The sequence below is a fragment of the Homo sapiens genome, chromosome 3 (genome assembly GCF_000001405.40).
Source record: "Homo sapiens chromosome 3, GRCh38.p14 Primary Assembly".
Classification (NCBI taxonomy): domain Eukaryota; kingdom Metazoa; phylum Chordata; class Mammalia; order Primates; family Hominidae; genus Homo; species Homo sapiens.
Genome location: NC_000003.12, coordinates 180,796,182 through 180,822,595, shown reverse-complemented (window position 1 = coordinate 180,822,595; position 26,414 = coordinate 180,796,182). Strand labels below are relative to the sequence as shown.

The 26,414-nt window shown below is 36.4% G+C and overlaps 1 long non-coding RNA gene and 1 pseudogene across 1 annotated transcript in view, besides 1 other annotated feature; one reads left to right on the top strand and one right to left on the bottom strand.

Annotated features, from left to right (window-relative positions):
* Positions 1-26,414, top strand: part of LOC101928882 (uncharacterized) — a 162,590-nt gene that overhangs the window by 47,583 nt on the left and 88,593 nt on the right. Inside the window, exon 3 of the long non-coding RNA NR_109986.1 lies at positions 12,126-12,186. This is a non-coding gene — a long non-coding RNA (uncharacterized LOC101928882). The remainder of the gene's footprint in view (positions 1-12,125; positions 12,187-26,414) is intronic.
* Positions 581-2,136, bottom strand: ACTBP16 (ACTB pseudogene 16; annotated as a pseudogene).
* Positions 17,328-17,865: an enhancer, noted in NCBI's record as "OCT4-NANOG hESC enhancer chr3:180522519-180523056 (GRCh37/hg19 assembly coordinates)". NCBI's record gives its function as "activates a minimal SCP1, AML or CMV promoter by ChIP-STARR-seq in primed H9 embryonic stem cells {active_cell/tissue: H9 hESC(primed)}" and the evidence as "EXISTENCE:reporter gene assay evidence [ECO:0000049][PMID:30033119]".

Below are 26,414 nucleotides of genomic sequence, written 5' to 3'. Positions count from 1 at the left end.
TTTGATAGAATGATTTACATTCCCTTGGGTGTCTATCCAGTAATGGGATTGCTGGAACAAATGGTAATTCTGTTTTATGTTCTTTGAGAAATCTCCAAACTGCTTTCCACAGTGGTTGAACTTGTTCACATTCCCATCAGCAGTATATGTGTTCCCTTTTCTCCACAACTTTGCCAGCATCTGTTGTTTTTGACTTCTTAATAATAGCCATTCTGACTGATGTGAGATGGTATGTTATTGGGTTTTTTTTTTCATTTCTCTAGTGATTAGTGATGTTGAACTTTTTTTATATGCTTATTATTGACATTGTGTATGTCTTCTTTTGAGAAATGTCTGTTCATATCCTTTGTCCATTTTTTTAATGGGGTCTTTTTTTTAAGGTGTGTACTTTTATTGCACTGGTCTCAAGTTAGTGTACAGGGAAGCCCAGGCTGCCTCCACCCTCCACCAACTCCCAGGGAGACCAAGAGCCTTCATACAGCTCAAGTTGGGAGACAGAAAAGGGGGGTCACAATGCCAATCATTCAAAATAAAACAAAATTTAAAAAGTACTAGGGCAAAGATTTAAGAAATTATGCATTACATAATATACATGAAAGCAATGCTGTCACCTCCCTGGACTTGGGAGAGGATTAGACCATTCTCCCTAGAGAGAAGTGTGGTGGCTTTTTGGAGGGCAAGGGACTTCCTGTAATAAAGCATCTCATGATATTTGGAATGACTATTAAAAAAATAACAATATACAATCAAAGTCCTCGGCCACACTGTAGAACTTTGAGCGATGCTGGCTCCAACCCATTGCTGACACTGTCATGGTCCAATTTTTAAATCCTGAGTCAAGCCGAAAACAAAAACGAAAACAAACAAAAAACAAAAACAAATTAAGGCATGCCAATGTCATCTTGTTTTCTGTGCCAGTTTGGTTTTTGTCAAGAAAGAGTGTAATGAAACTAAGAAAACTAAGCGACAGTCCTCCTAGAGGCATCTGTGGTGGACAATGGAGGGGTGGGACTTGTGGTACTGCTGCTTGCTGATCCACATCTGCTGGAAGCCTGGCAGCCAGGCCAGGATGGAGCCACTGGACCCACACAGAGTATCTGCGCTCAGGAGGAGCAATGATCTTTATCTGCATTGTGCTGGGAGCCAGGGTGGTGATCTCCTTCTGCATCCTGTGGGGGATGCCAGGGTACACAGTGGTGCCACTGGACAGTACTGCATTGGTGTAGAGGTCTTTGCAAATGTCCATGTCACACTTCATGATGGAGTTGAAGGTAGTTTCGTGGATGCCACAGGATTTCATGCCCAGGAAAGAAGGCTGGAAAAGAGCCTTGAGGCAGAGGACCAGCTTGTTGCTGATGGTGCCGACTTGGGCTTCAGGCAGCTTGTAGCTCTTCTCCAGGGAGGAGCTGGAGGCCACAGTGACCAGGGAGGAGCTGGAAGTCCAGGGTGAGGTAGCACAGCTTCTCCTTGATGTCTCACGCTCTCTTCAGCGGTGGTGGTGAAGCTGTAGCTGCACTTCCCGGGGCTCTTCATGCGGTAGTCAGCCGGGTCCAGATGCAGGATGGCACCAGGGAAGGCGTGCCCCTTGTAGATGGGCACAGTGTGGGTGACCCTGCCAGAGTCCATCACGGTGCCAGTGGTACAGCCAGAGGCTTACAGGGAAAGCACAGCCTGAATGGCCACCTACATGGCTGGGGTGTAGAAGGTCTCAAACATGATCTGGGTCATCCCACGGTTGGCTTTGGGGTTTAGGGGGGCCCCAGTCAGCAGCACAGGGTGCTCCTGAGGAGCCACATGCAGCTCGTTGAAGAAGGTGTGGTGCCAGATCTTCTCCATTGGTGACAATGCCATGCTCGATAGGGTATTTCAGGGTCAGGATGCTTCTCTTGCCCTGGGCCTCATTGTCCACGTAGGACTTCTTCTGACCCATGCCCACGATCATGCCCTGGTGCCATGGGTGCCTCACGATGGAGGGGCATCGTCGCCTGCTAAGCTGGCCTTGCACATGGGAGAGCCATTGTCCATGACGAGCGTGGCGATATCATTATCCATGATGAGCTGGCAGTGGGTGTGGACCCGTGGCAGAGCGGCGAGGGCAAGACTCTGTGCTTATGGGGCAGATGCGGTCTCAGAGGTGAATGCAGTCGTTCTTGGCTTGTTGATTTGTCTAAGTTCCTTATAGATTCTGAATAGTAGACTTTTGTCAGAGGCATAGTTTGCAAATATTCCTTCCTATAAGTTGTCTGTTTACTTTGTTGATAGTTTTATTTGCTGTGCAGAAGTTCTTTAGGTCCCATTTGTCAATTTTTGTTTTTGTTGCAATTGCTTTTGGGGTCTTCATCATGAAATCTTTGCTAGGGTCAATGTCCAGAATGTTATTTCCTACATTTCTTCTAGGGTTTTTATAGTTGTAGGTTTTACATTTAAGTCTTTAATCCATCTTCAGTTGATTTTTATATATGGTGAAAGGAAGGCCAGGCGCGGTGGCTCAGGCAGGGCGTGGTGGCTCACGCCCATAATCCCAGCACTTTAGGAGGCTGAGGCAGGCAGATCACGAGGTCAGGAGATCGAGACCATCCTGGTTAACACGGTGAAACCCCGTCTCTACTAAAAATACAAAAACAAAAACAAAAAAATTAGCTGGGTGTGGTGGTGGGCACCTGTAGTCCCAGCTACTCGGGAGGCAAGGCAGGAGAATGGTGTGAACCCAGGAGGAGGAGCTTGTAGTGAGCCGAGATTGCGCCACTGCACTCTAGCCTAGCCTTAGTGACAGAGTGAGACTCCATCTCAAAAAAAAAAAACAAAAAAAAGGAAGTTTCATTCTTTTGCATATGGCTAGCCAGTTATTCCAGCACCATTGTCAACTTTGTCGCAGATCAGTTCGTTGCAGTGTATGACTTTATTTCTGGGTTCTGTAACCTCTTCTATTGGTCTGTGTATCTGTTTTTGTACCTGTATCATGCCGTTTCAGTTACCGTAGCCTTGTCATACAGTTTGAAGTCAAGTAGTATGATGCCTCCAGCTTTAATGTTTTTGCTTAGGATTGCCTTGGCTATTTAGGCTCTTTTTTGATTTAATATGAATTTTAGAATAGTTTTTTCTAATTCTGTGAAATATGTCATTGGTAATTTGATAGGAATAGCATTGAGTCTGTACATTGCTTTGGGTGATATGGCCATTTTAACAATATTGATTCTTCCTACCCATGAGCCTGGAATGTTTTTCCATTTCTTTGTATCATCTCTGATTTCTTTCAGCAGTGTTTTATAATTCTCATTGTTGAGATCTTTCACCTTCCTTCTTAGCTGTACTCCTAGGTATTTTACTCTTTTTGTGGTATTGTGAATGGGATTGCTTCCTTGATTTGGCTCTCAGCTTGGATGTTGTTGGTGTATAGAAATCATGATATTTTAATTTTAAATTTAAGATTATAATACTTTTACTTGACTTCTTTGATTTTAAATTTATATTCTCTCTACTATTGTAAAAAAAGTTGGTTCCTAAATGTGTAAATATAATTACTTATTTTCTTTATCCTTTATCTATTTTTCTTTATCCTAGATTGTATTATAATAGTTTCAGAAAATCATAACCAATGTTGTCACTAACAATATGATTGCTGAAAATTACTCAAGATCTTTTTTTAAAAAACATTTTATTTATTTATTTTGAGCTTCAGGGTATATCCAAATAGACAAATGAAATTATTGTGTTTTCAGTTTGTTTGAAATACTTCTTCTATATATAATTATGCCATCCACTCATTGCTTAGATTGGTTTCATTTTGCTTAGATTTTTAGGGATTGAAAAAATTTAACTTTAATTTAAATTTTAATTAAGTAAAATGGTTATGGGACTTAAAGAAATGTACCAAACAAGATCTATTGCAAAAAGTTCATCATTTATTCCTGTCTTCCTTATAGTTTCTTTCCTCTCCCTGTAGGTAGCCATTTAAAAACCTTTTTGCTTTAGCCTTACATTAAAAAAATATGAAAACATATGTCTTTGTATCCTCCCTTCTTTCATATTCTTCCTTTATATCTCTCCTTTCTACCAATAAATGGTAACATACACACTTTTCTTCAGCTTACTTTTTTCACTTTCCTAGAGATCAGTTTTATATAAAGTATATAAAAATAGCTCTGTTTCCCTTTATAGTTACATATTTCTCAATTGAGTGGGTATATCATGGTTTAATCAACCAGAACCCTTTGGTGGATATTTGCATTGTTTCCAGTTGTGTGCTGGTAAATATTTAACAACTAGATCTCTATAGGGAAAAAAGTCCTGATTTGGAGTTTGCAAATTTTTGTAGTGTCAATACTCCTACCATGGCTGATTTTAAGCTACTAACATAATGTCACTGAATGTGAAGTGGGGAAGTGATGTACAATAGCACTTCAATATATAGTATTCCCAACATTTGGATACAGTACATGTAAATAATCTCAACAGCATAGTTTTTTTTGTTTTTGTTTTTTGTTTTTTAAATTTTGAGACAGGGTCATGCTCTGTTCCCTAGGCTGGATGGTAGTGATATAATCATGGCTTGCTGCAGCCTAAACTTCCCCAGCCCAAATGATCCTCCCACCTCAGCCCCCCAAGTAGCTGGGACCACAGGTGTGTGTCACCATGCCTGGCCAATTTTGTTTATTTTTTTGTAGAGACAAAGTCTCACTATGTTACCTGAGCTAGTCTTGAACTCCTGGGCCCAAGTGACCCTCCCATCAAGGCCTCCCCAAATGCTGAGATTACAGTCATGAGCCACTATGCCTGGCTTACCTTTGTTTTTAACATAATTTATTTAATTGTAAGTCTATATAATATAATTTCAACAGTGGCTGTGTTTAAAAACTAGCTTGCAAAATTCTTGGAAATGTAACAATCAATTTTTGCAAGTGGATACAAGCAAGTTCCAATATATTCACTGGTTGCTATTACAAATTTTTCTGTGGTGAATAGCATTGTACATGTGTCAGTTTTGTATATTTGCTAGTGTAATTTTGGAACAGATTTTTAGAAGTGGGGTTATTGAGTCAAAGGATAAATGTTTCTGTTGCTCAGTTGTCTTTGAAAGAGGCTATACCATTTGGTATTTCCACCAGCATTAAATGAGAGTGTTTGTTTCCCCAAGTCTCATCAACAGAGAATGTTGTCAAGATTTTGGATTTTTTTTTTTCAAAAATAAAGCTGAGAAATGTATCTCAGTGTAGATCTCATTTGCATTTATCTTATTATGGGTGAGGTTGGCCATCTTTTTGTATCTGTTAGTCATTACTGACAGTTCCTTCCTTCCTTATTCTTCATATCTAACCAATTACCAAGTATGTTTTTCTTTCTCAGTGTTCATTGCAACTGTACCAGATAAAACTGCAATCTCTTCATCTGGATTAATTTTTGAGCTTCTTATCTTGTCTTCCTGCATACATTTTGCCTTCTCTAATTAATTCTCTACAAATCAGCCAGAGGAATCTTTCCAAGAAAAATGGAATTGTATAATTCACCTTCTCCTGATACTTCAGTGGCTTCCCACTACACTTTAGAAACCAAATTGCTTAGTCGTACCTATAAGATATTGGAGACAACTTTATCACAAAACCACACATAGTTATGAAGAAGGCTGGAATTATCATATGAAAATGAAAGAAGAAAAGATTTTTTCCTTATATTAGCACAAATTAAATATGTAATTAATTAGATAGTGATTAAGTAAGGTTGGAGTTTGAGAAGCTATCTTAGAGCAGGTGATGAAAATAACCGGAGAAAGAAAGTAGAAGAAGAATGTGTACAGGCTGGGTGTGGTGGCTAATGCCTGTAATCCCAGCACTTTGGGAGGCCGAGGTGGGAGGATTGCTTGAGGCCAGGAGTTCAAGACTACCCTGGCCAACATAGCAAGACCCTGTCTCTATTAAAAAAAAAAGAAGAAGAAGAATGTATGCAAAGGCCATTAGACAAAAATTAGCAAGAATTTCCTGGTAGTTGGAGGCAAATGGCAGAGGTAAGTAGAGAAGTAACAGCTAAGTAGAGTCTCTGAGAAGTTGAGAAAGACTTAAGCTATTTCCAATTTTTGAGGCTTCTGACATATTAAAATAGAAATAAATTCCAAAGCAGGTCTGTAACATTTATGGTATATTTCAAATACATCTATCTGATATTTGAAACACTAGAAAGTATAATGCAATATAATGGTAACATTCACAAGATGATTACAGGATTTGCAAAAAGATTTTAATTCATAATACACAACAGGTGATGTTGAATTTTGTGTCTCCTGGGTCTCTCCCACCCCTGTATTAGGGTTCTCCAGAGAAATGGAACCAATGGGGGTGGGGGGAGAGAGAGAGAGAGAGAGAGAGAGAGAGAGAGAGAGAGAGAGAGAAGAGAGAAGAGAGAGAGAGAACTTTATTTCTTTATTTATTTAGAGATGGATTTTCGCTCTTGTTGCCCAGGCTGGAGTGCAATGGTGCAATCTCAGCTCACTGCAACCTCTGCCTCCCAGTTCAAGCGATTCTCCTGCCTCAGTCTCCCAAGTAGCTGGGATTACATGCCCAGCTAATTTTTTGTATTTAGTAGAGACTGGGTTTCACCATGTTAGTCAGGCTGGTCTCAAATTCCTGACTTCAAGTGATCCACCCACCTCAGCCTCCCAAACTGCTGGGATTACAGGTGTGCGCCATTGCACCAGGCCTAAGAGAAATTTATTATTAGGAATTGGCTCATGCAGTTATGGAGACTGGCAAGTACAAATTTGCAGTGTGGGGCCAGCAGGCTGGAGACCCAGGAGAGCTGATGGTGCAGATGAAGTGTGAAGACAGTTTGCTGATGAATTCCCTTTTGCTAGGGAAGGCTAGTCTTACTGTTCTATTCAGACCTTCAACTAATTTGGTGAGGCCAACCCTCATAATGGAGCGCAACATGATTTACACAAAATTTACTGATTTAGATGTTAATCTCATCCAAAACACCCTTCAAGATATACACAACATTAGCCTTCATATACCCAGAGAGATATGTTGAAGTCCTAAGCCTCAATATCTCAGAATGTGAAGCAACGTTGCTGACACTTCAATTTTAGACTTCTAACCTCCCAAACTGTGAAATGATAAATTTGTATGGCTTAAGCCATGTAGTCGGTGGTACTTTGTGACAGCAGTGCCAGGAAATAAATACAGACTGTATGTATGACCTCAGTTGGAGATAACATCAAAAATCTAAATTTGAAGCCCTTCATTATAAAGTTGACAATTGGATTAAATGGCTTTAGGTCAATTCTAATTCACGATAAATTCGTTTTCTAAAACCCATCAGGAATAGTTTAATGATAACCATTTCACCACAGTATCAGGGGAAAGATTAAGTTTTGGGAAATAGTTTAATAGTTCACCAAACTGGCCTATGTTTACCACTTCAGTCCAACCATCAGTAGATTCTCAGAGCTGCACATGTTAAGTTTCATATCTTACAAAGCAAGTGTGGCCATTTATGGGAGTGGCTGGTATAAGGTAGCTTTGCTCCACGCTAGTGAACAGGCCCCCAACCAGCACTACTATGATTGTTGGGTTCAAGAGACCCATCAAATACTTGAAACAAAGTTTTGGGAAGAAAGATTCTGCTTTATTTAGCAAATTAAATATTCCCCTTAAAATGAAAAGAAGTCATTCTGCTAACAGTGTAGTCCTAGTACTTTCTTCAGACCTAGATTCCCATGGTTGGTTTAAGTTGTAAAATTCTGTGTCTTTTCTTCTGTTTCTTGGCTGAAGACATTGTGGCATAGCAGATGTGCTTACCAGAGAGCCTGACACCAAGTTGGTGCTCACTAGATTTGTTGAGAGAATAATCCACAAGTCTTGGGGTCAGACTAGTCTCCAATTCTAGCTGTGCCACTTTCTAGCTGATTGACCCAGAGTCAGCCATGGAATCTCTCTGACCTCAAATTTCTTCTTCAGTAAAACCATAGGGAAAATCTCTCAACTTTCTCTCCTGTTATTTTCCATAATACATTTGAAGAAATTTATCTTACTTTGGGAACTAGATAAAAATGGACATGATTTTTTAAAAAAGTAATAATTATTGCTTTGTTTGCTTCACAGAATTCGTATGAAGATTGAAGTGATAGTAAATGTAATAGCACTTGACAAAACATAAAGTAATATATAAATGTAATAGATTATTATCTTGCTAATAGCATCACCATTCTCAAATTTCCGACTCAATATTGTCAATGCATATACTCTTTTGAAAGCTTTAGGTAAGAAAGTTACTTTAATACTAATTGTAGTTTGTACAAGTATATGCATGTGTATATTTTTGTATGTTTAAGATTATTAATTTGTTTATTTAAAAATATAACATATGCAGTATAAACAAATAAAGCTCCTTTCTGGCATAGTATTACAGGTCCACAAACTGGTACATTGTATTTGTAATTTCTACATCCAAAAATATCTTAGAAACAAAAGTTTTTTGTAAATAATTTGTAGAAAAATTGGACTTGAACTGATTATAGTCTATTTCAATTAATGTGACTATTCATACATTTTATTGCAGAAGAAGTATATGAATCTTCCCTCTTATAAAAAGCTTAAGAAAGCCAGACCAACAAAGACGGGGCAATTAAAGAATAGTATAAGTGAGATGTTCAAGCTGCATATATTCAAGAGCTGAAGAGTATGGTACAAATAATAAGTCCTGTGTATTTTCAAAAAGGGAATAAAATAATTGTAGACTCTAGATCTACCTTCCAGAAAAGCAAAAACAATTTTATTGAATGATGCCTGGTATATTCATTTAACATAATCTCTTTAAACAGAAAAAGTAGAGTTTCTGAAATAAACCCTAATTTTTCTTGAACAAAGGAAAGTAGCCCGGATTCTTCAGAACTTTTCTTTCATCAGAGTTGAACCATAGAATAATAAAGGCTGTGTGTCCTGGATGCTTACAACACCTTATCACTCCATGAATTGGCCCCAAGAAGTGTAGGATCACTGTAAATCTTAAGAAATAGATAATTCGATTTCCAGGAGTTGGATTGAACTTAGAATAAGACTCATATAGGGTTCTTGACCTCAATATTTGCTCAGCTATCTATCAAGGCCCTGGCTTGTTCCATCTCATTTTTACAAGGCAGAGCCTTTCCAGCCCTTGGTTTCTACCCTGTCTGGTCAGTTTCACAGCAAGGTCAGAGTGCCCTGCATTAATTCTGGAAGCACAGTCCTTGCTGCCCATCTCCTCCATAATGTTTTGCTTTTTTTTCTCTCTCTCTCTCTCTCTCCCTCCCTCAGCTGCATTTAAGCCTTAGACTACAGATATAAGCTCTTGGGTACTTATTTAAAAATCTAAAATACCTTGAATTTTCAATTCATCTGTCCTCCTTCACAAGGTCTTTTTACAATGTGCAATTTATAAAATGAAATATTTTTTTCAATAAATATTATATAACTACCAGAAGATATGATCAAAAGCATTTCCACTGAGCAAATGATTATTGTAGGATAGTGGTTAGAAGAAGGAAATTTAGATGGATTCAAATTTCAGCTCTACCACACTTACTAGCTTTGTGACTTTGGGCTAGTAACTCAATCTCTTTGCCTCAACTTTCCCATCTGTAAAATGGAGGCAATAATACAGCAATAGACTATTCTGAGTAATAAATATAAAACACTTAGCCAAATTCTTGACACTTCAAAAATGCGAGAAATATTAACTTTTTGCCATTATCAGCAGTGAATAACCCTCCATCATTCCAAAGATTTTAGCTTGCAAAATGCTCCTAAAGGGTGTGACCCCATTTCACTATTGTCCACTTCAGTGGCTGCCACACACCTCACATTCTAATCCTAACACAGTCACATACCTATGGAATCATGACATTCAAAGTCTGCAAGAACTGTGGGTAAATCTCACGCTTCATTTATTCAAATGCCACTGGCAAGTGTGACTGTGACCCAGAGTGTTAGCATGACTCTTTAGCTTATTTTACTTTATTTTTGCAGCTCTCAATTTTAACATTTCTGTTAATTACATTCATGCTGTGTCATTTTACTTGAAAATTTCTTTTTCCACCCCCAAATCAGAGACCAGAGACAGTCCTGGTACGTTTGGACAGTTTGGACAGAACTGGCAGGTGGCCTACCTAGCCACAACCCTTTAAAAACCCTATTTCTGTATCTTATTTGTGGACAATGACAGAAATAAGGCTTATAAGCATCTAAACACTTGTGAGACAGCATGTCAGCTTTCAAATAGGAGCATAAATTTAGACACACACTCAACTGTATGCACTGGTTCTCACATTCATTCCATTTTTGAGAATATAACACATCATCTAAAGTGAAAACTAATTTTTGAATTTCTCTTGACTACCTTCTGTGTGTGAGGCATTTAAAATATTTTTTATTAAGGTATAATTTATGAACAGTAATATTCACTCTGCAAGTTTTGACAAATGTACATAAATGCACCACAACTAAATCATGGAACAATTCCATCACTCCAGAAAAATTTCCCTGGGCCCTTAAAGTCAACTCCTTCCCCCACCTCCAGCCCCTGGCAAACACTAGTCTGCTTTTTCCCTCTATAGTGTAGTAATTTTTCACATATGTTATCTCGGTTAATATTACTTAGGATCTTCTGAGATAACAGTATTACTCCTGTGGCAGCAACAGAGTTGACTGAATATTTTTATTTATTGCCTTAAGTGATAAATATTCTATATCTTTTAGCTTTTTTGTTAACATAGAGTCTTACAATAAAGTGTTAGAAAAAAATAGCCACTCTCAAGTCAAATGTTTGTTTCCTTTTAATTAAACCTGATTACTTTTTTAAAGGGAGGAGATTTTTTTTATTATATTGCTTTTTTTCTCTCCAAATGTGTGCTTTTATTGCTCTGTTTCTGCAAGATGAAATCATTAACAGTTTACCTATCCTTGACCCACTGAACTTCAACCATGGATAGGGAACAGGAAACAGTAAAACATGAATTTTATGAAAATGTTTTTTGTGCTCATGCCAGACTCAATGCCTGAAGGAATTGACTGGGGACTCACTCCGTCATGCATATGAGTTCAGGACTGTATGTATAGTGATTTGTCCAACTTGGTTTCTTGAAAGCTAAAGTCCTGACCTTTTATTCCCCACCGTGAAGAGCTACAATAATGTAGGAACAAAGAGAACATGGAATTTCCCAAAGTTAGAAAGTTCCTTTGATTCCTTTGCTTTGCCTGGAACTTATCCATGTGGTGTTCCAAGCTAAGGAAGGGCAGGTGTATATGTGGAAATGGTTGAGCTATGTGCCTGTGACTTTAGCAGTCACATTTAAACCAGAGTCACAGATTTAGGAGAACTCTCTTAATAATTTATACAGCTATTTTATCATTAAAATAATATTTCTCATTTTCAATTATAAAGGTAACTTTTATTATAGAAAGTTTGGAAATTTTAATTATTTTAACACAACTGGATACTGCTCTAAAGAATAAAAAAGGTTATTATACAACGAAAGATATGGCCCTAGTTCCTTTTTATTAAAACTCATTCAATCTTAAAGGGGCCCTTATTCAGAATCAATTTACTCTTAAATACCAAAATGGTAGCCCTAAATCCAAATATGTATCTGTGATGATAGTAAGTGTAAATTATCTAAATATACCAGTTAAAAAACAGAGATTGTCAGAATGAGGAAAACCATAATATGCTGTCTATGAGAAACCCACTCTAAATATAACAATATCATAGGTGAAAAATGAAAGAATGGAAAAGAATATACAATGCAGACACTATTTGACAGAAAGCTGAGTAGCTACATTAATATAAGACAAAGACTTCGGAGAGAGGAAAATTACTAGGGATAAAGAAGGACACTACATAATTATAAAATGGTTAATTTACTAAGTAGATTTAGGAAAGATTTATTAAGTAGTAGATAACAATGCTAAATATGTATGTGACTTACAACAGAGCTCTAGCAAATACTGATAAAACTGGACAAATGAAAATTATAGTTGGAAACTTCAGCTCAATTTTTCTTGTTCTGTCAACTCAGTAATTGACAAGGCAAGTAGAGAGAAAATTAGCAAAGATGGACTAAAAAACACCATTAACCAAATGAATTTATTTGACATTCACAGACTCTACCCAACAACAGCAGAATACACATTTTCTTCAGGTTGACCAAGAGCATTAACCAAGGTAGGCAATATTAAGTATCATAAAACAAAACTCAGCAAATTTAAACAATGAAAATCATACAAAGTATGTTTTCTGAATGTAATAGAATTAAGCGAAACAAACTCGGAAATTCTAAATTTTAGCTGGTAAATGGTAGAGTTTAGTAGATAAGAACTTGGGCTCTTCATTCAAATAGAAATGGATTTGATTGTCCCACTTACATATTTTGGAAACGTTGACAATATAACTCTGGGTTGCTTAGCTCTTATGAGGAGGAAGGAGCGTTTGCTTGAGGCTCTTTATTTTAAAATAATGAAAAGTTTGAAAAATGCCTTGCCATTGATCCAACATAACTTATTTTAATATTTTACTTCAGTATCTTCACTTATCATTGTAAAAACACATAGATGATACTGGGGACTGATTCACATTCCAGAGGACAAATTTTGACTAACTGGTAGACTGTATTTTTTGCAATTTATTCACATAGCCACCCCCTTGACAAGCCCCCTTGGCTGATTAATATTTTTATAAAGAGTTAGGGTCTCGCTCTGTCACCCAGGCTGGAATGCAGTGGTGCAATCATGGCTCACTGTAGCCTCAAACTCCTGGGCTCAAGGGATCCTCCCACCTCAGCCTCCCAGGTGTTGGGATTATAGGCATTTACCAACTTGCCTGGCTCTAATTCTGTTAATAAAAATGGAAACCAGGATTGAGAGAGACGATTCACTCATTTAATAGGTTACTATTCAGTACCTAATTTGTAGCAGGCCCTATGTTAGATAATGGGGAGATAGCAGCAGAACTTAGGATCTAAAGGGGAAGCAAATATAGTAAATTATAATTAATTGAGCAATTACAATAAAAGGTACTGAAAGCTGTGACTGTTGAAGTATAGTTTAATAGACAAAGAAGAATACTTTCAGTTCAGCTTCCTTTTGCAGTTGCTAATCCATTATCCACCCTGGTAAGCATGAAGGGTAGAGAATAACAGTACACCAAAACAGTTGGCTGAACTGGTGGATCATGGGCAGGGTGGGGAAGGGAAACACCCCTCAGATGTGTCCTAGTGTGTTCATAATGGTGTCATAGACCCAAAGAAGATTAGAACACATAATTATAGGCTCACTACCCAGGTCATCTTTCAAGTTTAGAGATGCCAGAAGATTTTAAGATTCCAAAATTAGAATCTTCTTGGTTTGTCCAAGTGAATATGCTTACCAGCATTGCAATGTGATTTTATGAGTATTTATCAAAAGCTGACCTAAGGGAAGGACTATGCTTGTGAAAAGTAGAAAAAAAAGTTATTCTAAAGAAGAGGTTTTCAATGACTAAAGACTCTAATGTCGTATTACATTGTGGTTTTTCAATAATGTACAGGAAACAGGTGTCTTAAGCCATAAAAAAAAACAGAGCTAGAACTCAACAGGTGAAATGAGGTGAAATCAGGTCCCTTGGTCAGCATGTTTAAAAGTGGTTTCTCCAGATTAGGGAGGACATGAGGAGCTAGACTGAGAAAAGAATTCCAATGACTGAAATAACTGGCTTTTTGACTATACCAGGGAAAAAGTGACTTTAGTTTTGGATCTTTGGGCAAATGGCTACAGAAAAACTGAGGAGTTAAAATTAGCATGAGCATTTTCATCGGCTATTATGTTGGGCTTAGGACTATTATAGGGACAATTAAATGCACTAAGAAGCTCGAATCAATTTCACAAAAGGTTTCAAGTAGCAACATGAAATTCTTTCTTTATGGTAGATTGCCAAAGCTGTAAGAGCAGTGGCCAAACCCATTAATAGAAACAATGCAGTTTTCCTGGGTTGGCAGTGTCTCCTGGATTGAGTGTGACAAAATAATAAAGAATGACTTTGTCATCTATAAAGCTGTTGGACATTCTTAAAAATTAGAAGATCCCCAAAAGGAGAACTTAAGACCTAATATCTAATCTTAGTTAAAATTGCACTGACCCCTAGTATAAAGTTTATAAAGCATGCACAGGTACCTTCGTTCAATCCTTACAAGAACTGCTAAGATAGGCTTTTGTTCCTTTTTTATAGATAATCACCCTGAAGCTCAGAGAGGTTAAGTGACTCACCAAAGCTCAAATTACTGATAAGTGGCAGATTGGGAGCTTCTTCCTTTTTAGATTCTTCACCTTTATTGGAAAAGGATATAATTTGGATATATGAGTAATCTCTATGAAAATATTGTTCAAAGATGCAAAACCTTACAATTTTCAGAGATGCCACTCCTATATAAATACCAAGTAATTTTATCTTGAGTGTAGCTCATACCTTAAGATCTTGTTTCTTGGCTTGGCAAATGTAAACAAATGATTAAATTATGAATTCCTGTCAATAAATGGCATCGTAAGATCTCATTTTTTATTTGCTTAAGTAATATGATCTTATTGTAGAAAAATTTGAAAATAGAGATAAACCAAAAGAAAGATTATCCAATCCCCAAATTTTTGGCCAGAAAAATTACTGATTAGTGTATCTCTTTCCAGTGCTTCACATAAATATATATATACATATATAAACTAAACATATATGCAATAAAATACATGTCTATAAAGACAGTTACACATTTAAAATATATGTGTACATTTTAAATTTATATACACATATTTGTATATATACAGTTATAAAGTAAAATAGAGACAATTTTATATATTCTGTTTATATATTGAATATTAACTTGTTATGGACATCTTTATACCAAACAAATATGCTTCTATACCATATTTTTGTGATATTGTTGGACAACTTCAATTTAGATTGTTATAAAAAATACTGTGATGTGGTAAAGGGAACTTGAGGAGATACGGAAAAAAAGAAAAAATTAAAAAGGAAAAATACTGTGATGAACATACTTGTAGTTATAACCTTGCCTAAATTCTCAATTATCTCCTTAAGGCAAATTTCCAGGAGTAAGTTTTGATGCACATTGACAAATTGTCCTTGAGGAAGTTATATTTCCATCAGCAGTAGATAAAAGCTCTTGTTTTCATACATATTAACATAGAATATTTTCAGTTAATTTGTTGGCATTTATTAAAATCCCTATGTGCTCGTAGTTCTGTTCTAAATGGTTGGCTGGTCCTGAGATACATACGGGCAATGGTGTGACAAGCAGACCAGTTGGGCTGTAAAGTTTAAACGAGATAATCCATGTACAGCATATGTCAGAGTGTCTCTATATGCAGTAAATATTAAGGATATGGTAGCTATTTATTATTGTTGTATTTTAGCTGGGAGACTTCATCTCCATCAAGAAAAGTATTTTTTTCAGCATCTAAATAGAATATAATCACCTTTTTAATGCCTTTCTGAATTTCTCAAAGGGATGGTTTAGATCCTTTTTCTCTGCACTCAGCACACTCTATATATACTTCTGTTGTATGTCATATCACATTGTAACATAATTATTCTTTTATCTCTTTGACTCTCACTACATTGTGAATGCCTGTGAATAAGGACCATGTCTTATCTCTGCCCACAGCACTAAGTACAGGTCCTGACAATTGATAGAAATGCAATAAATGTTTGTTACATGACTGAATGGATGAAAAAGCAAAAGAATAAAGTTTTTGCTGTTCAGATGGGTGACCCGAAACTTCCTCATGACTCCTTATCATAGAATGTAAAGTATGGAGAAAGTGGATAAGGACTATGGTCCCAGTTCTTGTGGAAGTTGGCAATAGAATTAAGAAATTATGAGGCAGCTGTGCTGAAAACTATGGTCAAGGGTATCATTGGAGGTATCATCACAATACTTCTGATGTACAGGTAAAAGCTCCTTCTTTTCTGCCTATGTAGTCAGAGTATGTCATTGAAGAGGAGAAGCTTGTCTAGTTCTCCGTGAAGGAGGGAAAGCTAGCAAGCAGATTTTCATGAGGCTATCTACCCAGACTACATTCTCGTTTCCTAATTCACATGGGCAGTCCATTTCAGTACTGTTATTCCACCACTCCCTGGCCATAATTGATTGAGTTAGGGTGGACACCTAATCCAGGAGGAACCAATCCATTCATTGTACTGAATCAATTAGATTGTATCTCTTAGAAATTAAGACCCAGAGCCTGGCCGGACTCCAGGTACTAAACGTTGGGAGATACTCTTAGATTAATTGCAAATTTTTCATTTTTACTTGTTATTTGAGCATGTTTGTTACTTCTAATTCAAGGAATTTTAACCAAGACAGTAGGATCATTGATTTTACATGTATAGCAGTGCTTTGGAAAATATTCTCTCTCATAGTAGTGCCAGGGTTCTGTCTCAAAAAACATGTCAGAAGATGTCCTGCTAGTAGGGTGCCTTAAAGGCACTTCAGCCAAGGGGTCAAGATGGGCCTCAAAAATATTCTGTCTTGACTGTGATTTGGATGGGTCTTGGGGTATACCCTGGCCCATGCTAACCCTGGTGCAGCCATGAGAATCTCAGGATTTCTGGACTAGCCTTGCATCTTAGCATATTAGGAGAGAGAAGGATTGAGATCTTTTGGATTGGAAGCAACCTGCTGATATAAGGACAAAAGTGGCACAACTTGCTAGGGGTACAAATTTAAAAATATACATGTAGGGTGACTTATTCAGAATTTTGGAGTGAAAGTGGCATTATTCACAGTTGTATGAGAACAACAGTTACAAAGTGAAATTGTCTTTGGCAAACAGGGCTATATTGTCACCATATCTCTGGGTGATTTGTAGCAATTTACATATATTTAATTAATAAGGATCATAAGAACTGGTACTTATTTGGGAATACTCATTTATTTTTCTTATTTTAAAATCAAATTTTTATTCATTGTACACAAAAATTGTAAAATGTAGATATATAGGAAGAAGGTAATAAACCTGTCATCCAGCTTTCAAGGATAATGACTGTTAATAGTTTGGTATATCTCTTTCCAGATTTTTCTACTTATTCATGTAATACATTTAAATAAAAAAATTAGACCATATTGTATGTATTATTGTATGAATTGCTTTTTAATGTCCTTTCCATGTCAACATTATTTTTAATGGTTATTTTCTAATTTGTTTATTATGTGCCATCATTTCTTTAACAATCCCTATTCTGGGCCATTCAGGCAGTCTCCTGTTTCACTAATTGTGCTTTAAAAGGCCACTCATTCTCCTGCAATATTTTTTCTTGTGAAATAAATGTGGGGAAGTAGGAGTGGTTTGTACACAGGATCATGCCCTCAGAGATCTCTCGCGTTAGAAACGCGCTGTGAACTGTATACATAAGCCTGTTAAAACATTTTAGTTGGTCACCAAATCAAATGTCAGGTTTTTTTTTCCCTCTTCTTTCCAAGAAGACAAAGGGAAACATTTGGAAGCAAGTCCTGTGCACCCCCTTGTGTCACCAGGGTGGAATGTGCTGCTAGCATTCACATTCCTTCCCCGCATAAGAACAGACAGGCCTTCCGAATGCTAGAGAGGAAGTGAGCTTTCCAAAGGACACTGTGATGGAAATCAAAATACAAGAAAAGACAATGTAATATGTCTTTATATCTGAAGGGATTTCCTGTACCATGAAGTGATCTTGACTTTTAAGTACATTATTCGATAATTTTGTTTTCTTTTGTAGCCTACCTTTGGTATAATGCCATTTTGTATAATTAAAAAAAAAATTTTAACAGTAACATTCTCATTGTAGAAAATATTGAAAAGTATATAAAATTATTATAACAAAAGACCTAACAATTATTAACATATTGATTTATTTTCTTCTAGTATTTTTTCTGCATATACACACATATACATATATCCATATATAAACCGTATAGTGGATAGTATGGTGTTATAAGTGCTTGCCTCCTGCTTACTTTAAGTTGATGTTAAATTATCATAGAAAAGTCAGATTCCATATCTATCTTGTTCAGTGCTGAATCTCCAGTGCCAGGCAGAATACATGGCATGTTGTAAACCTTTGATAAATGCTCATTTGATTACTGAATCTTACTGTATTTTGTAATTCACTTAACCATTTCCCTGTTGTACCTCATTTTCAGTTTGTTCACTATTATAAATCACACAGTGATTAATTTCTTTGTGCATAAAGCTTTTTCCACCTTCCTGATTTTTCCCTCAGGTTAAATTTCTTGAATGCAATGGTTAGATAAAGAAAATAAAAAATTAATGTTCCAATCACAGAATGCCAAGCTGCTTTCCAATTCACATAAACATAAGCGGGGCCTATGAGTAAATGGCAGAGCTAGAAATCCAACTAAGATCTCCACCCAAAGCCTGCCTCCTTGACACTATTCTATGCTGCCTCTCCATCTATCTGGTTAAATAACTGATTGGACAATGATAATCTGAAGGCTCTGATTAATAAATTCTTATTAAGCCAATAATTCTAGCACAAAAAGGGAAGTTTTAGTTTGGCAGGGCTTTAATTTAGTAAAGCCATTCTGATTCATGATAACAGTGCCACCATTAGTCCAAATGGCACCTTTGTGTAATTTGGAAAAAGATAACCCTTCTCCAAGATATTTTGATGCCCTCTGCAGGAAAATTGTCTTAATAAATACATAAATCTATGAATATAGAGGCATGAATATAGAGCTATAAGGCACAAAACTTGGACAATTCTATTTTCTAAGCTCTTGGGAATTCTGTTTAATCTAGACGAGAGTTTTGTGAGGCTATAATGTCAAGCAAAATAAATTATATTTTCTGGAAGTGCCTTTTTGAAAATTATGATAACTTGCATCTTTCTTTTAATCTCTTGGTTCCTCTCTAGGTCTCTTTGTTTTTATAATGTTTCCAGTGTTTCTGCAATCTCATCTACAAATTCTCTTGCATCATAAATCCTCACAGTTTAAAGTGTGATGGTGGAAAATGTTGTTTTATAATAAAATTATTTCTTTTTAAATGCTTACAAGCTATAATTTTAATATATTTAAAGCCAGTTTCATGTGTATATTTTTATTTGAAATAATCTTAAAAACATGGTTATTAGAGAAATATTAAAGTTTTATTTCTGTAATATATTCACCCAGAGAATTTCTGTTATCCCTTCGATTATTTATCCCTTATGTTTCCATCAATTTAAAAAGTGTATTTGATATTCAAACATGACACCTTAGCCTCCAAGTGTAAATCTGTTAATATAAGCAGTGAGTGAGTCTTTACAGAAATATTATCATAAAAAATTTCTGTAAATATCTTATTAGTGTCCTGACAAGTTGAACAATTATGAAGACATCTGTACATTGATTTTTAATAATTGAAATACTGTTAAAGTATTTCTATAATGAAAGAAAATTTTTAAGTGGTATATTTTGTTTCAAATAACATTGAGATTTTTTTTTTTACATAGTAGACAGGGAATCATCTCATTGAGAACAGATTTTTCTCCTCTATTTTGTTCTGCTGCTGCCATCTAGAGTAAAAGTGAAGCAAAGGAAGCAGACCTCCACCAAATGGTGCAGATTCTAGATTCAATCAGGAATAGGGGAGAGCTTAAACTATTTTTCTTAATTTTTAATTGAAAAATAATTATTGTATATATTTATGGGGTACAATGTGATGCTTTAATGCATCTATACATTGTGGAGTAAGCAAATTAGGCCAATTAGCATATCCATCACCTCACATACTTATCACTTTTTTGTGGTGAGAACATTTAAAATCCACTGTTTTAGAAATTTTTGAAATATACAATACGTTATTACTAACTAAAGTCACCCTGCTGTGCAAAACATCACCAGAACTTATTCCTCTTGTCTAACTGGAACTTCATACCCTCTCACCAACATGTCCCCTTTCCCTCTCCACCCTTTTCACCCCGCTCAACTTCCAGTAACTACCATTCTACTCTGTGATTTTTTTAGATATCAAATATAAGTGAGACTACATGATATTTGTCTTTCTGTGCCTGGCTTATTTCACTTAACACAATGTCCTCTAGATTCACTCATGTTGCAAATTTTTCTGCTTTTTTATGGCTGAGTAGTATTTCATTGTGTGTGTGTGTGTGTGTGTGTGTGTGTGTGTGTGTGTAAAACTTAAAAACATTCATTTGGCCAGGTGCAGTGGCTCACACCTGTAATCCCAGCACTGTGGGAGGCCAAGGCGGGTGGATCACAAGGTCAGAAGTTCGAGACCAGCCTGACCAACATGGTGAAACCCTGTCTCCACTAAAGATACACAAAAATTAACCAGGTGTGGTGGTGCGCACCTGTAAACCCAGCTACTTGGTAGGCGGAGGCAGAAGAATCGCTTGAACCCGGGAGGCAGAGGTTGTAGTGAGCCGAGATCACGCCATTGCACTCCAGTCGGGGTGACAGGGCAAGACTCTGTCTCAAAAAAAAAAATTATTCATCTGTTGCTGGGCACTTAAATTGGTTTCATATCTTGGCTATTGTAAATAGTGTGGCAATAAACATGAGGGTACAGGTATTTCATTTACATATTAATTTCACTTCCTTTAGATATATACCCAGTAGTAGTAATGCTGAATCATATAGTAATTCTATTTTGAGTTTTTGGAGGAACCTCCATACTGTTTCCAAAATGGCTCCACAAATTAACATTCCTACAAAATGTACAAGGGCTCCTTTTCATCCACATCTGCAGCAACACTTATCTATCATCTTTTTGATAATGTCCACTCTAACAGGTACAAGGTGATATCTCATTGTGATTTTGATTTGCATTTCCCTGGTGATTCGAGATGTTAAGCATTTTTTAAAATTTATTTTTTTTTATTTCAGTAGGTTTCTGGGGAACAGGTGGTGTTTGATTAATGAATAACTTCTTTAGTGGCAATTTCTGAGATTTTTGTGCACTCATCATCCGAGTAGTGTACACTGTACCCAGTGTGTAATCTTTTATCCCTTACCCCCTTCCTACCCTTTCCCCCAAGGCCCCAAACTCCATTGTATCACTCTTATGCCTCTGCATCCTCATAGCTTAGCGCCCACTTATGAGTGAGAACATACAATGTTTGGTTTTCCATTCCTGAGTCACTTCACTTAGAATAATGGTCTCCAATTATGTCCAGATTACTGTGAATGCCACTATTTTGTTCCTTTTATGGCTTGGCAGTATTCCATGGTACATATATATCACAATTTCTTTACCCAATTGTTGATTGATGGGCATTTGGGCTGGTTCCATATTTTTGCAATTGCGAATTGTGCCGCTATAAACGTGCGTGTGCAAGTATCTTTTTTGTATAATGAATTCTTTTCCTCTGGGTAAATATCCAAAATGGGATTGCTGAATCAAATGATAGTTCTACTTTTATTTCTTTAAGGAATCTTCACACTGTTTTCCATAGTGGTTGTACTAGTTTACATTCCCAGCAGCAGCGTAGAAGCGTTCCCTTTTTACCACATCCACGCCAACATCTATTATATTTTAATTTTTTGAGCATGGCCATTCTTGCAGGAGTAAGGTGATATTTCATTGTGGTTTTGATTTGCTTTTCCCTGATCTCTAGTGATGTTGAACATTTTTTCATATGTTTGTTGCCGATTTGTATATTTTCTTTTGAGAATTGTCTATTCGTGTCCTTAGCCCACTTTTTGATGGGATTGTCTGTTTTTTTTACCGCTGATTTGTTTGAGTTCCTTGTAGATTCCGGATATTAGTCCTTTGTCAGATGTATAGATTGTGAAGATTTTCTCCCACTCTGTGGGTTGTCTGTTTACTCTGCTGATTGTTTCTTTTGCTGTACAGAAGTTTTTAATTAAGTCCCATCTATTTAATTTTGTTTTTATTGCATTTGCTTTTGGGTTCTTGGTCATGAAATCTTTGCCTAAGCCAATGTCTAGAAGGGTTTTTCCAAAGTTATCTTCTAAAATTGTTATGGTTTCAGGTCTTAAATTTAAGTCTTTGATCCATCTTGAGTTGATTTTTGTATAAGGTGAGAGATGAGGATCCGGTTTCATTCTTATACATGTGGCTTGCCAATTATCCCAGCACCATTGGTTGAATAGCGTGTCCTTTCCCTACTTTACGTTTTTGTTTGTTTTGTTGAAGATCAGTTGGCTGTAAGTATTTGGCTTTATTTCTGGATTCTCTATTCTGTTCCGTTGGTCTATGTGCCTATTTTTATACCAGTATCATGCTGTTTTGGTGACCGTGGCCTTGTAGTATAAAGTCAGGTAATGTGATGCCTCCAGATTTGTTTTTTTTTGCTTCTTCTTGCTTTTGCTATGCGGGCTCTTTTTTGGTTCCAAATGAATTTTAGGATGTTTTTTCTAGTTCTGTGAAGAATGATCGTGGTATTTTGATGGGCATTGCGTTGACTTTGTAGATTGCTTTTGGCAGTGTGGTCATTTTCACAATATTGATTCTACCCATCCATGAGCATGGGATGTGTTTCTGTTTGTTTGTGTCATCTATGATTTCTTTCAGCAGTGTTTTGTAGTTTTACTTGTAGAGGTCTTTCACCTCCTCGGTTAGGTATTTAATATATTCCTAAAAATTTTAGTTTTTTTTTTTTTTTTTTTTTGCAGCTATTGTAAAAGGGATTGAGTTCTTGATTCTCAGCTTGGTCACTGTTGGTGTATAGCAGAGCTTCTGATTTGTGTGTATTGATTATGTATCCTGAAACTTTGCTGAATTCATTTATCAGTTCTAGGAGCTTTTTGCAGAAGTCTTTAGGATTTTCTAGGTATACAGTCATATCATCAGCAAACAGCGAGTTTGACTTCGTCTTTATCAATTTGGATGCCCTTTATTTCTTTCTCTTGTCTGTTTGCTCTGGCTAGGCGTTCCAGTACTAGGTTAAATAGAAGTGGTGAGAGTGGGTATCCTTGTCTTGCTCCAGTTCTTAGGGGGAATGCTTTGAACTTTTTTGGTTCCAAATGAATTTTAGGATTTTTTCTAGCTCTGTGAAGAGTGATGGTGGTATTTTGATGGGAACTGCATTGAATTTATAGATTGCTTTTGGCAGTATGGTCATTTTCACAATATTGGTTTTACTCATCCATGAGCATGTATGGATGAGTAGAATCAATATTCTGTATTGATTCAGGTGCAGAATCATTCAGTATTAAGTTGGCTGTGGGTTTGTCATAGATGGCTTTTATTACATTAAGGTATGTCCTTCTGTGCTGACTTTCCTGAGGCTTTTAATCCTAAAGAGATGCTAGATTTTGTCAAATGCTTTTTCTGTGTCTGTTGAGATGATCATGTAATGTTTGTTTTTAATTCTATTGATGTAGTTTATCATATTTATTGACTTGTGTATGTTAAACCATCCCTGCATCCCTGGTATGAAACCCACTTGATCATGGTGGATTATCTTTTTGATACGCTGTTTGATTCAGTTAATATTTTGTTAAGTATTTCTGCATCTATATTCATCAGGAATATTGGCCTGTAGTTTTAGGTGAGGTGGCATTAGGGTGAGACTGACTTCATAGAATCTCTATCTCTATCTTGTGGAATAGTGCCAATAAGATTGGTACTAATTCTTCTTTGAATATCCGATAGAATTCAGCTGTGAATCCATCTGGTCTCAAACTTTTTGTTGGTAATTTTAAAATTAATTTGAAAACCTTGTTTTTGAGCTCTGAAGTTCTTTGTTTGTTTGATTCTATTATGGAGACTTAATAGTGTATTTTGCATTTCTCTAAGTGTGTCTTTCATTTCCAGAAACTGATTGTTTTTTATTGATGCCATCTAATTTCACTGAAGGGCTTTCCCTTCATATCTTGTATCATTTTCTTTTTTTTTTATTTCATTAAGTTGGACTTCACCTTTCTCTGGTGCCTCCTTGATTAGCTTAATAATCGACCTTCTGAATTCTTTTTCTGGCAATTCAGGGATTTCTTCTCGGTTTGGATCCATTGCTCATGAGCTAGTGTGATCTTTCGGGTGTGGTAAAAAATCTTGTTTTGTCATATTACCAGAATTGTTTTTCTAGTTCCTTCTCATTTGGGCGGGCTATGTAAGAGGGAAGATCTGGGACTCAAGGGCTGCTCTTCAGATTCTTTTGTCCCACGGGTGCTTCCTTAATGTATTGCTCCTCCCCTTCCCCTAGAGATGTGGCTTCCTGAGAGCCAAACTGAGTGATTATTCACACAGCAGAGCTATCAAGCTCCAGGCTAGTACAGGGGAGTGTCTGCACAGAGTCCTGTGATGAAAGTCCCATCTTCGAATCTATGAAAAACAATGATAGCTATAGCAACCTGTTAAGAGATAGGTAATATAAAAATAATATAAATTGAGGCAAAATGTAGGGGGATAGAGTTAAAGTATAGAATTTTTTCTTTTTCAAAAATTTGTTTCTATACCTTTCTTTTGATCTAAGATAAGTTGTCATCTCTTTAAAATAACTTGTTATATACATAAGATGTTTTATGTAAGCCTCATGGTAACCAAAATATAAAAATCTGTAATAGATTCACTAAAAATAAAAAGCAACAAATTAAAACATACTACTAGAGAAAAAATCACTTAACCACAAAAGAAGACAGTTAAAATGGAAAAAAGGAGTTAAAAAGCGACCAAAAACTAAGCAACAAAATAGCAGTAGTAGGTCCTTACTTGTCAATAATAATATTAAATGTAAATGAATTCAGTTTTCTAATTAAAAGGCATACTGTGGTTGAAAAATAAACAAGTTTCAACTATATGCTGCCTACAAAAAACCTACTTCACCTATAAAGACATGAATAGTCTGAAAGCAAAAGGGTGGGAAAAGATATTCTATGCAACTGGAAACCAAAAAGCTGCAGAAGTAGATAGACTAAAAATCAAAGACTGTTAAAAGAAACAAGGTCACTATAAGATGATAACGGGGTAAACTCAGCAAAGGATATAACAATTACAAATATCTATCTATCTAACACTGGAGCTCCAAGTATATAAAGTGAACATTAATAGATAGAGAGATTGCAAAATGGTAATTGTAGATTTCAACATCCCACTTTCAGCAGTGGACAGATCATCCAGACAGAAAATCAGCAAAGAAACATCGGAGTGAAACCACACACTAGACCTAATAGGCCTAACTGACATATACAGAACATTTAACCCAACTGCTGTAGAATACACATTTTTCTCATCAGTTCATGGAACATTCTGAAGAATAGATCATATATTAGGCTACAAAACATTTCCCAAGGAACTCAAAAAAGTAGAACCCATATTAAGTATTTTTTCTCAACAATAATGGAATTAAACTAGAAATCAATAACAAGAGGAATGTTGGAAACTACACAAATTAGGAAAAATGCTCCTGAGCAACCAATGGGACAATGAAGAAATTAAGAAGGAAATTAAAAAATTTACTGAAACAAAAGAAACTGGAAACACAACATACCGAAACCTATGGGATATGACAAAAGCAATTCTAAGAGGGAAATTTATAACAATAAATGCTTAAATTTAAAAACTAGGAAGATTTCAAATAAATAACCTAACAATGTACCACAAGGAACTAGAAAAGCAAGAACCAGCCAAACCCAAAATTAGTAGAAGGAATGAAATAATAAAGATCAGAGCAGCAATAAATAAAATTGAGACTAAAAAAAAAAATACAGACGATCAACAAAATGAAAAGTTGGGCCTTTAAAAAAAAAAAAGATACACAAAATTAACAGACTTTTAGCTAAACTAGGAAAAAGAGAAGACCCAAACAAATAAAACAGAAAACAACTGAGACCACAGAAATACAAAGAATGGGGTGGGCATGGTCACTCATGCCTATGACAGTACTTTGGGAAGCCGAGGCAGGTGGATCACTTGAGGTCAGGAGTTCAAGACCAGCCTGCCCAATGTGGCGAAACCCAGTCTCTACTAAAAGTACAAAACTTAGCCAGGCATGGTGGCACGTGCCTGTAGTCCCAGCTACTTGGGAGGCTGAGGCACGACAATCACTTGAACCCGGGAGATGGAGGTTGCAATGAGCCAAGATTGTGCCACTGCACTCCAGCCTACACAACAGAGCTAGACACTGTCTCCTGTCTCAACAACAACAACAACAACACAACAACAACAAAAAAACAACAAAAACAAAGAATGATGAGAGACTATTATTGTATTAGTTTGTTTCCATGCTGCTGATAAAGGCATACCGAAGGCCCGGTGTGGTGGCTCACACCTGTAATCCCAGCACTTTGGGAGGCCAAGGTGGGCAGATCACCTGAGGTCAGGAGTTCGAGACCAACCTGGCTAACATGGTGAAACCCTGTCTGTCTCTACAAAAAAAAAAAAAAAAACAAAACTGGGCAATTTACAAAAGAAAGAGGTTTACTGGACTTACAGCTCCAC